This window comes from Homo sapiens, chromosome 11 (assembly GCF_000001405.40).
Source record: "Homo sapiens chromosome 11, GRCh38.p14 Primary Assembly".
Taxonomy (NCBI): Eukaryota; Metazoa; Chordata; class Mammalia; order Primates; family Hominidae; genus Homo; species Homo sapiens.
Window position 1 is genome coordinate 108,288,082 of NC_000011.10, and position 12,568 is coordinate 108,300,649.

The following is a 12,568-nucleotide window of genomic DNA, read 5'->3' on the forward strand; positions in this document are numbered from 1 at the left end:
TTTTTTGAGATGGAGTCTCACTCTGTTGCCCTGGCTGGAGTGCAGTGGCATAATCTCGGCTCACTGCAACCTCTGTCTTCCAGGCTCAAGCTATCCTTCCTTCCACCTCAGCCTCTCGAGTAGCTGGGACGACAGATGCACATCACTGCGCCTGGCTAATTTTTTATATTTTTGGTAGAGACGGGGTTTCACTGTGTTGCCCAGGCTGGTCTTGAACTTCTGGCCTCGAATGATTCCCCCGTGTTGGCCAACCAAAGTGCTGGGTCTACAGGCATGAGCCGCCGTACCCAGCCTCACCTTTTCTTTATTGTGCGTTATTATCTGTACAATTTAATTTGGATGTGAATGTCTCTGAGTTGTATATGAACATCAGAGTTGTTTCCCTGGCTTGATTGTAAGCTACTTGAAAATATGCTTTACTTTTTTTTTTTTTTTTTTAATGTGCCCTACTGTGCTGGGCATATAAAATAGTAATAATATCTGAGAAAGTACTTTCACATATGTAATTTCATGCTGTCTAAATAAGTGTTGATTGCCATGTCTTAAAGTACTGCTTTTACAGTACTGGCATAGAGCTTTGATTCTGATCTGAAGTAATACTGAGGCTCATTTATTGAACTGCCTTTTAACTTTATAAGATTTTTTAAGAAAATCATTATAAGATCATTTAAGATTATTTAAGTTACTGAGGGTGAAAGGTATTTAGATAATCTGATTTATATATCTGGACTGTGATATGTCATTTGTGATTTTATTGAAAGTATAGTTTTTCAGTAGAAAAATGGTTTTTGAATTTGGGGGTTATTAAAATCTAAATTTTCATTTTGGAAGTTCACTGGTCTATGAACAAAACTTTTTAAAACGATGACTGTATTTTTTCCCTTAACTCTGTTAGGGATTTGGATCCTGCTCCTAATCCACCTCATTTTCCATCGCATGTGATTAAAGCAACATTTGCCTATATCAGCAATTGTCATAAAACCAAGTTAAAAAGCATTTTAGAAATTCTTTCCAAAAGCCCTGTAAGTATACATGATGAGTTTAATAATAGAACATTCCTTCTTTTTTAGCTAAAAAAACTTTGTAAATACATCTTAAAGAGGAAAAGTAAACAAATGAAAAATTTATCTCATAATTAAAAAGGAAAACATTCATTTACAAGTTTAAATGGTATTTTACTTGTCAGCATTAATTGAAATATGTTACATATGAGAACAGAATCTTGTGACACTTTAGTGATATATTAGCTCAGGGAATATATCTACTTTTTCATAGGAATATACTATTTAATTGTAGTTTACTTTCTGAAAATTAAATAAATTGGCAATAGTTTAAGATAGTAATTTTCTTAATGTAACATTTTGTACTTGATATCAAACCCAAATCTAAATTCTGTTATTTAGTTATTTTAAATATAAAATGTGTAGGTATTCAAATATTTGAAGAAAAAATATAAAGTGTATTTATTGTAGCCGAGTATCTAATTAAACAAGTTTTTACTAAATCTGTTTATTTTCTAGGATTCCTATCAGAAAATTCTTCTTGCCATATGTGAGCAAGCAGCTGAAACAAATAATGTTTATAAGAAGCACAGAATTCTTAAAATATATCACCTGTTTGTTAGTTTATTACTGAAAGATATAAAAAGTGGCTTAGGAGGAGCTTGGGCCTTTGTTCTTCGAGACGTTATTTATACTTTGATTCACTATATCAACCAAAGGTAAATAACATATTTAGACCAATATATAAGCAGTCTTTCTATCCTGTTCTTCCTGTTTTTTTGCTTTGTTTTGTTTTGTTTTGAGACAAAGACTCACTCTGTCCGCCCAGGCTGGGTGCAGTCACGGCTCACTGCATCCTCAACCTCCTGGGTTCAGATTATCCTTCCTCCTCACCCTGCCGGGTAGCTGGGGCTACAGGAGCATACCACCATGCCTGACTAATTTTTTGTGTTTTTTGTAGAGGTGGGGTTTCACCATATTGCCCAGGGTGGTCTCAAACTCCTGGGCTCAAGCGAACTGTCAGCCTCAGCCTCCCAGTGTGCTGGGATTACAGGCATGAGCTACTATGCCCAACCTATCCTGTTCTTTTAATTGAAAGTTTATATGCTTCTAAGAGGTAGATACCAGAATGTTGCTTTCTGAATTTTGCTTTTTAAGATGTCTATTATATTTACTTATTAGTTTTTAAAAATTGCGCTACTTGCCTGGGAAACATAGCAGACCTCGTTTCTACTAAAAATTTTTTAAAAAAGAAAATTAGGGCAAGGTGTGGTAGCTCACACCTATAATCCCAGCACTTTGGGAGGTTGAGGTAGGTAGATTGCTTGAGCCCAGGAGTTAGAGACCAGCCTGGGCAACATGATGTGAAAACCCATCTCTACAAAAATTTTTTAAAAAATAAGCCAGGGATTGTGGCATGCACCTGTAGTCTCACCTACTCCAGAGGCTGAGGTGGGAGGATGGCTTGCGCTCAGGAGGCAGAGGTTACAGGTTACAGTGAGCAAAGATTGTGCCACTACACTCCAGCCTGGGAGACAGAGCGAGACTCTTGTCTCAAAAAAAAAAAAAAAAAAAAAAAAAAAAAGAAAATTATCCAAGTATGATGATATGCGCCTGTAGTTCTAGCTACTTAGGAGGCTGAGGTAGGAGGATGGCTTGAGCTCAAGAGTTTGAGGCTGCCAGTGAGCCTTGATTGCACCACTGCATTCATGCCTGGGCAACAGAGTGAGACTTTCACTCAATTAAAAAAAAAAAAAAAAGCACTACTTCTCCAATTCTAGAAATCTTAAGAAGGATCTTCAACATTTTAATACTAATATTCTAGCTATTGATGGCCTCAAATAAATGTTACTATAGAATTGGGGTTGTTCGGCCGGGTGTAGTGGCTCACGCCTGTAATCCCAGCACTTTGGGAGGCTGAGGCGGGTGGATCACAAGGTCAGGAGATCGAGACCATCCTGGCTAACACAGTGAAACCCCGTGTCTACTAAAAATACAAAAAAATTAGCCAGGTGTGGTGGCAGGTGCCTGTAGTCCCAGCTACTCAGGAGGCTGAGGCAGGAAAATGGCCAGAACCAGGTAGGCAGATCTTGCAGTGAGTCTAATTCGCACCACTGCACTCCAGCCTGGGCGACAGAGCAAGACTCCGTCTCAAGAAAAGAAAGAAAAAACAAAAACAAAACAAGAATTGGGGTTGTTCAATTTAGCATCTCTGATCTTTTCCATTGATTTTAATGAGATTTCTATTTTTTAAGGTCTTTTTTATTGTGGTAAACTATATAACATAAAATTTTTTATTTTCGCCATTAAATGGCCAGTTCAGTAGCATCAATTACATTTCCATTGTTGTGCAACCATCACCACTGTCTATGTCCAAACTTTCATTATCTCAAACTGAACCTCTCTACTCATTCCACAATAACTCCACATTCCTCCTCCCCACTGGCCATTGAGAAACTAATCTATTTTCTGTCTCAATGAATTTGCCTATTGTAGATATTTTAATCTAGAGTTGTACAATATATGTCCTTTTGTGTCTTGCCTTGTGTGGTCACTGAAAACTTTGTACCTTAGCTTGTGTTTAGATAGTGTTTGATAGAGATTTCCTTGGATACCAAGAGTGTTGGGATGAGGAAGCATGAGAGGAGAAAACTTTTCCTAGTGTTTGCAGATTGGCTTTATGCTAGGATTCTTCTTCAACACTTAGCCATGCTTGCATTGCTTGGGATCAGCCCCAAATACAAGCTTAGGGTCTTCTCTGGTCTTTTCTGAGCAAGAGTCTTATCTTGAGCATGTGTGTGGCTTTCTGAATTCCCCCTAATTTGTGGGTGCTTTTGAATATACTAATTTCCCAAAGAAATACGCTCCCCAGCTACTCCTAGGCTTTAGGCAGCCTCTTGTATGTCTCAACAGTAATCTTTTGCCCTATGCACCTGCAGGTTGTTGGTCTGCCTTACAAAGTTTCAAGCAACACCCATATCTTTTGTAGCTGGTATGAAGTTAAACAAAACAGAGCTACGCACTTTACATCAGTCCTTGGTTCCAGACAGGTTAGAATAGACATATACAATAGTTTGCAACTAATCTACTTAGCTCCATGAACTACCATGAGCCAGTGTCTCACACCGAGGATATAGGCCACTGCTTTTGTGATTGTTGCCACGCTGGGGTAGGGGTGGGCAAGGACAAGTAAAGTTACCACAAAGCTTTCCTGCTGTTTTTCAGTTGGATTTTTCTTGATTCAATATTTTCCTGATTACTGTAAACCTTTGACTATTTTACAGAATTCTAACAAAATTAGTTCTGACAATTTTGCCTGTTTTTCAATGTTTCTATTAAAGGATGGAAGCTTAGAGCTGCCTATTCTGCATTTTGCTGATGTGACTTCTCTTTTTGGCTTATAAGCCATTAAAATATTTATGTCAAGGCATATAAGAATTAGAGATGCTGAACAAAAGGACTTCTGAATGAATTTATTTCAGAGTAATTTTCCAGAACTTACTGGTTGTTGTTGTTTTTTTTTCTCCCTATATTAGGCCTTCTTGTATCATGGATGTGTCATTACGTAGCTTCTCCCTTTGTTGTGACTTATTAAGTCAGGTTTGCCAGACAGCCGTGACTTACTGTAAGGATGCTCTAGAAAACCATCTTCATGTTATTGTTGGTACACTTATACCCCTTGTGTATGAGCAGGTGGAGGTTCAGAAACAGGTAATTTTCTGACTCATCTTCAAAATGGTATTTAAAATATATAAAGTATTGTTAGAAGGATTTGAGTGTTTTATGTTTATTTGGTATAATTGGTGATTTTATTGAGAATATTTTTTGTAAAATGATTGGAAAAATATTCTTAATGAATTAACCTTTGTAATCAATTACAGAGCACTTGGTACTTTTGATAGTTTTATCTACTGTGCTGAAGTAGAGAGGTAGTCAAAACTAGGGATAGCAGTTCGCAACGTTATGGTGGTATTTGAGTTACTACTTATATAAACTGTTTCATTAATATTGGCATTTTTTTTAACCTCAGTACCCATCTTGTAGTAGTACCTTACATAGTTATTGAATTATTTGAAAACACAGAAACTAAAAGCTGGGTATCTTAGACGTAATTAGAACATTTAATCTGATCTAGGTTAATAGATTTTATCATTTATTACAGTAAGTTTTGTTGGCTTACTTTAAAATTATTTCTCTCCTTATAATTTTTTCTTTTTAAATTATATTTAGGTATTGGACTTGTTGAAATACTTAGTGATAGATAACAAGGATAATGAAAACCTCTATATCACGATTAAGCTTTTAGATCCTTTTCCTGACCATGTTGTTTTTAAGGATTTGCGTATTACTCAGCAAAAAATCAAATACAGTAGAGGACCCTTTTCACTCTTGGAGGTAATAAAAATTTCATCATCTACTATTTTTTATTAGAGAACATAGTAGTACTTTTCAAAAATCTGTAATGCTCTAGCAGTAAAAAATGGAATCTTTTCTTTAATTGTGATTAAAAATATATACGTAGGCCAGGCACATTGGCTCATGCCTATAATCTCAGCACTTTGGGAGGCTGAGGCAGGAGGATTGCCTGAGCCCAGGAGTTCAAGACCAGCCTGGGCAACATGGCGAAACCCCGTCTCTACAAAAAATTAGTCGGGCATGGTGATATGTGCTTGTAGAATCAGCTACTCAGGTAGCTGAGATGGAAGGATCACCTGAGCCCTGGAGGTCAAGGCTGCAATAAGCCAAGATTGCTCCACTGCATTCCAGCCTGGATGACAGAGTGAGACCCTGTCTCAAAAAAAAAAAAAAAAAATATATATATATATATATATATATATGTGTGTGTATATAAACACATACTTGTGTGTGTGTAACGTGAGATCTACCTACTTAAGAAATAAAAAAATGAATCTTAATGTATCTCTTTGCATTGAAGCCAAAGTATAAATAACAAAACTTCCTGGTAAAGATCCAAATTGTAAGTTTTCAAGGAATGTGATGTAAAATAGTTTTGATTTTAACACATAAGATCCTAAGGTCCACTGATAGCTCAAAACTACCAATGGATCTTTTCAATGTCAATTTAATGTTTGTGTTAGAGATAACGTTTAACTTTTGAAAGCATATTTTAAGTTTTAATCTTTATAAACCTCGAAATTATGTTTAGGTATATTCTTCCATACATATCTTAATTATAATTTTTAAATGATAGTCTGTATTTGACTCTATGTAAATATAAAAACATATTTAAGTATGTTAAGATGTAAAGTTATACTACTAAAGAGAAATTTAAGCATTTCCTTCCAGTTGAGTATGCTATAACAATCTTGAAGTCTGTGTTACCATGAGAGAGTCTATTAGAATTTAAAGGATTAGGCTGGGTGCAGTGGCTCACGCCTGTAATCCCAGTGCTTTGGAAGGCTAAGGCGGGCAGATCATCTGAGGTCAGGAGTTCGAGACCAGCCTGGCCAACATGGCAAAACCCCATCTCTACTAAAAATACAAAATTAGCTGGGCGTGGTGGCACATTCCTGTAAATGCCACCTTTTCAGGAGGCTGAGACATTAGAATCACTTGAACCGGGGAGGCGGAGGTAGCAGTGAGCCTTGATAGCGCCACTGCACTCTAGCCTTGGTGACAGAGCGAGACTCTGTCTAAAAAAGAGTATTAAAACATTGTAGGGTTTGCAGTGGAAGAAATCATTTATTTCTTCCTTGATTAGTAGTAATAGAGACATGAGTCAGTGTCTATAAATGGCACTTAACTAATTTTTTTCTTTTATTAAGTTTTATTTCACAGGCTTAACCAATACGTGTTAAAAGCAAGTTACATTTTCTCTTTTAGGAAATTAACCATTTTCTCTCAGTAAGTGTTTATGATGCACTTCCATTGACAAGACTTGAAGGACTAAAGGATCTTCGAAGACAACTGGAACTACATAAAGATCAGATGGTGGACATTATGAGAGCTTCTCAGGGTGCTAATTTTAAATGACATGGGCTATTTCTACCTGTTTCTTTTTGAAAGAATATTTTGCAAAGTCTTGCTCTTGGTTTCATTGTCACAGACTTAGTTCAGACTCTCATCATTTAGTTCAGACCCTCATTTCTCATCTAACTGTAAAACTGGTCCTAACTGGTCTTCTCACCCTGAACTCTTCCTGTTTTATTCATCCTCTGCCAGATGATTTCTCTAAACCCAAATATGATCATGTTTTTCTACTGCCTAAATTTTTTTTTTAAGAGACAGAGTTTTTTTTTTTTTTTAAGAGTCTCACTCTGTCACCTAGGCTGGAGTGTAGTGGCACCATCATAACTTACTATGACCTTGAATTCCTGGGTACAAGGAATTCTCCTGTCTCAGCCTTCTGAATAGCTGGAACAACAGGCACACACCACTACACCTAGCTACTTTATTTATTTTTTTTATTTTTTGTAGGGACAGGGGTCCCACTATGTTGCCTAGGTTGGTCTCGAATTCTTGGCCTCAAGTGATCCTCCTGCCTTAGCCTCACAAAGCATTGGGATTAGAGGTGTGAGCCACGGCATCTAGCCATGCTTAAACATTTTTCATTTCTTTTTCTTTTTTTTTAAGACGGAGTTTCGCTCTTGTTGCCCAGGCTGGAATGCAGTGGCACTATCTTAGCTCACTGCAACCTCCACCTCCTGAGCTCAGATTCTCGTGCCTCAGCCTTCCTAGTAGCTAGGATTACAGGCACCTGCCACCATGCCTGGCTAATTTTTTGTATTTTTTTTAGTAGAGACGGGGTTTCACCATGTTGGCCAGGGTGGTCTCAAACTCCTGAGCTCAGGCAATCCGCCCACCTCAGCCTCCCAAAGTGCTGGGATTACAGGCATGAGCCACCGCGGCTGGCCCATGCTTAAACATTTTTAACACCTTCCAACCATGTAAAAGAAAATTTTAATTCCTTAGAGCCAGACATACAAGTTAGTCTTGTCTTCTAGTCCAGTTTACCTGAATGAAAGAAATATGTCTCATTTTAATACTTTAGTCATATGTGTTATGTGTGTCTATATATATGTAAGTATGTATTTGTAAGTTTTTCTAGCTTGCTTGTTAATTTGATTTGAAATGTACATTATTACAGTATTTGGGAAACTTTCTACTTTGTGTTTTGATTTTCATCTTCCTATACCAATTAATTTCATATTTCTTTTTTTTTTTTGAAACGAAGTCTCACTCTGTCGCCCAGGTTGGAGTGCAGTGGCACAGTCTCAGCTCACTGCAACCTCCACCTCCTGGGTTCAAGTGATTCTCCTGCCCCAGCCTCCCAAGGAGCAGGGATTACAGGTGTGTGCCACCATGCCCAGCTAATTTTTTGTATCTTTAGTAGAGACGGGGTTTCACCATGTTGTCCAGGCTGGTCTTGAACTCCTGACCTCAAGTGATCCATCTGCCTCGGCCTCCCAAAGTGCTGGGATTACAGGCGTGAGCCACCACGCCTGGCCTAATTTCATATTTCTCTTGTGTTGTTTTTACTCTCAGTACTTTTTAAAATGAATTTTAGTTTTGACTATCTGAGCATAGAGTTTCTAATACATTTGAGATATATAAAATGTATGTAAATAGAAACACCATTATTTCTTGTACTTGTGTTCTTGAGTATTTTATGGGCTAGAGATCTGCCTTGTGCATTACAGCCACTAGCCATTTGGCTATTTAAATGAAGTAAAATTAAATGAAATTTGAAGTTCAGTTTTTTCATTGGTACTGAACACATATCAAGTTCTCAGTAGTACATTTGGTCAGTAGTGATCATTGGACAGTGTAGATTATAGACATTTCCATCATTGCAGAAAGTTCTGTGGGACAGTGCTGGTCTAAACTCTAAATGTTAGATGTTAAAAAGCCAAGCAGGCTCCCAAAGTCCCTTCTAGCTTTAGTGTTGAATGATTCTTGTGCTTCTGTTTGTGATTTTGCTAAGGTGTTGACTTATCTGCACAATTTGTTTAAGACATTTTATTTTCTCTGTTGTCACATATTGCTAATCACTTTCAAAAGAATCTGTTGTATTAAGGAAGTTCAGATTCATTCCCTACATATTTTTTGAGCTACTCATGACTTAAAACCTTTTTTAAACTTTATAGAAGTTTTCTAGTCAGATAATTTAATATATATGCAATTATAAACAAAAGTGTTGTCTTCATGCTAGTTTAAACTAATTTTTAAAAAATTATTTCTAGATAATCCGCAAGATGGGATTATGGTGAAACTAGTTGTCAATTTGTTGCAGTTATCCAAGATGGCAATAAACCACACTGGTGAAAAAGAAGTTCTAGGTAAACTACAGTCATGCGCTGCGTGACATTTCAGTCAACTGCGGATCACATATAGGACAGATTATAATACTGTATTTTTACTGTATGTTTTCTGTTGCCTGTAGTATTCAGTATAGTAACATGCTATACAGGTTTGTAGCCTAGGTGTGTAGTAGGCTATACCATCTAGGTTTGTGTAAGTATATTCTGTGATGTTCACGCAATGACAGAATTGCCCAATGACACATTTCTCAGAACATATCTGTGTCATTAAGCAAAGCATGATTGTATTGGCGGAATGAATGTGAGTTATGCGGTGGTCATCTTTATTATATGAGTGGTTATCTTTATTATATCTTCAAAATAAGTGAGGGTTTGTCATTTGGGATATTGGGGAAATATGAGATGCTAGCTAAGTTACATGCCTATTTAATTAAAATGTCCCTAAAAAGGCCCCTTTTGTACTTTTCTTCCTTAAATATTCATATAAAATGAAAAGTTAGAGATTTACATATGTGTATAACTTAATTTGAAAATGCCTTGTAAATATTTAGGAAAGTCAGAAATACTTGTTTTTAGAGTTAAGTTGCAAATAAATTGACTGCCGATATATTTTATAAATACATTATAACTGACAGGTACTCAGTGTCTTTTGTTATGTAGCAGACATAAGAATGAAGACTTGGAGGGCTAGATTAAACTTAAATAATTAAAAACCATTCAAGTCCTTTCCTACAGCCATTTGAGGGGAAACCTAATGTAAAATAAGAAGCCAACATCATCTCTAGTTTAGGTGTTTAGATTTAGTGACCACGGGATGGAGAAATCACCTGGTTAAAGTCAGCTTGAAGCTCTCGTGATGGTTTTTGTTTCTAATTAGAAAAATAGGAATAAGTAGTGTTTCACAGATTCTACTATCTTTCTTCAACAGCCTTAACTTCTCATTAGGAGCCTAATATCTACAGTACTTCCTTTTTTGTAGATTTTAAAAAATTGAGATATATCCTAATATAGAAAAGTATACAGATCAAAAATATCTAGCTTGAAGAATGTTTGCAGAGTACGCTTGTACATGTAGCACCCAGACTAAAAAACAGAATCTTACCAGAACTGTAGAAGTTTTCTTTAACCAACATACTTACCTCCTTGTCCATAGTGGCACTGCTTTTATGGACAGACCTGATTTACAACAGAAGCCCTAAGTGGCTTTCCTGTGTAGCATAAAATTAATGTGGTTTGTTCTCACAGCTTTCCCCCTAAGATCAGGAATGAGACAAGGCTGTCCACTTTCACTACTGCTGTTCAACAGTGTACTGGAAGTTCTAGCCAGAGCAATTAAACAAGAAAAAGAAATTAAAAGCATGCCAATTAGAAAGGAAGTAAAACTATCTGTATTTACAGACGACATGATCTTATGTATGGAAAATCCCAGAGAATCCACAAGAAAGCTACTGTAGTGCTAATAAATGAATTTAGCAAAGTTGCAGGGTACAAGATCAACACATAATTAGTGGTGTTTGTATATACTAGCAGTGCACAATCCAGAAAGAATTAGAAAAGCAATTCCATTTACGATAGCATCTAAAAGAAATAAATAGCCAGGAATAAATTTAATCAAAGAGGTGAAAAACTTATATACATTCTGTTTGTTAGACGTGAGTCACTAAGTACAGACCACACTCAACGGGAGGGAAGTTAGGCTCTACCCTTTGAAAGAAGGGCTCTCAAAAAATTTGTGAACATATTTTAGTAAATACCATCATGATGGAAAGAGCACGAAGAGCCCTCTGGGTTGCTGAAAATGTCCTGTCTTCATCTGGTTAGGGAGAACACAGGCAGAAAAAAATGTGTATTTGTATGTATAAATTTTCATTGAACTGTGTGTTTAAGATTATGGAATTTGTGTGATACCTCAACAAAAATTTTAACAGTTTTAAGGTTGATTCTCTCTCTCTTTTTTTTTTTTTCTTTTGTCACCCAGGCTAGAGTGCAGTGGTGCCATCTTGGCTCACTGCAGCCTCCGCCTCCTGGGTTCAAGTGATTCTCCTGCCTCAGCCTCCTGAGTAGCTGGGATTACGGGCCTGCGCCACCACGCCTGGCTAATTTTGTATTTTTAGTAAAGATGGGGCTTTACCATGTTGGCCAGGCTGGTCTCGAACTCCTGACCTCAGGTGATCCGCCCGCCTCTGTCTCCCAAAGTGCTGGGATTACAGTCGTGAGCCACCGCACTCGGCCTTAAGGTTAATTCTTGAAGTACAGAAAAACAGCATTATAGTTTTGAAATTAGAAAATTTCAGTTTTATGTATGATCTCTTACCTATGACTCTACTGAAATAGAATTTCTATATGTAGAGGCTGTTGGAAGCTGCTTGGGAGAAGTGGGTCCTATAGATTTCTCTACCATAGCTATACAACATAGTAAAGATGCATCTTATACCAAGGCCCTTAAGTTATTTGAAGATAAAGAACTTCAGTGGACCTTCATAATGCTGACCTACCTGAATAACACACTGGTAGAAGATTGGTGAGTATTTATTGATACCTTATATGTAATCTCAATATGACATTCATGGAGAATGATACTTCACACAAATAGATATTCTCAGTAACTAAAGCTTTGTCCTTTTTTAAATCTCAGTGTCTTTATGAAAATTCTTATATTTTTATTAATTCACATAATTATTTACCCTACTATGTGCCAGACACTTGATATAATGGTGAACATTCCAGACAAGGTCCCTGTTAAAATTTTAGTGGGACTAGACAAATAAACGATAAATAAGAAAAATGCCAGATGGTTCTACACAGAAAATTAAGATAGGGGAATATAAAGGGAGATGTTTTAGGCTCTTGTCAGTATCAGAGGTGCCACTCTCCTCTAAGCGAGGCCTTATTTTGATCCTTTTAAAATAAGTCGTAAAGCAGAGAGGTTGTTTTATAATCCTAGAAGTCTTAAGCTAATCAGACAGGGTCTTCTATTACTTATTCTCTGTGCAAAGCAGAATTGCACCACATATCAAAATTTCAACTGGTTGGTTGAGATTACTTTTGCGTGCATGCTCTTTCTCTCTCTTATTTATTTGTTGATTGATTGATTGGTATCTTTGAGTACTCCATCACCACCATATTTGATGGTAGCCTCAAAGGGTTTTCCTCACAACCAGGCACCTTTCTAAGATAAATACGTGTTTTGATTTTTTTCTGTACTTCCCTTCCTCCTTCTCTTGAGGAATAAATGATTGGCAATAATGTCTAACTGCCATGTTTCCGTTATTGATTTAATGTACC

General features: G+C 36.8%; 1 protein-coding gene across 16 annotated transcripts in view; it reads left to right on the forward strand.

The window, feature by feature from the left end:
• Positions 1-12,568, forward strand: part of ATM (ATM serine/threonine kinase) — a 146,036-nt gene that overhangs the window by 65,015 nt on the left and 68,453 nt on the right. For 15 of the 16 annotated variants that reach the window (XM_011542840.4, XM_047426977.1, XM_006718843.5 and 12 more), the window contains 7 exons: positions 896-1,022; positions 1,521-1,720; positions 4,538-4,712; positions 5,232-5,396; positions 6,846-6,978; positions 9,206-9,301; positions 11,633-11,804. In XM_011542840.4, coding sequence (XP_011541142.1) covers positions 896-1,022; positions 1,521-1,720; positions 4,538-4,712; positions 5,232-5,396; positions 6,846-6,978; positions 9,206-9,301; positions 11,633-11,804 — 1,068 coding nt within the window. Of the gene's footprint in view, positions 1-895; positions 1,023-1,520; positions 1,721-4,537; positions 4,713-5,231; positions 5,397-6,845; positions 6,979-9,205; positions 9,302-11,632; positions 11,805-12,568 lie in introns of those variants that run through there. The other variant, XM_047426981.1, reaches the window with a different exon arrangement.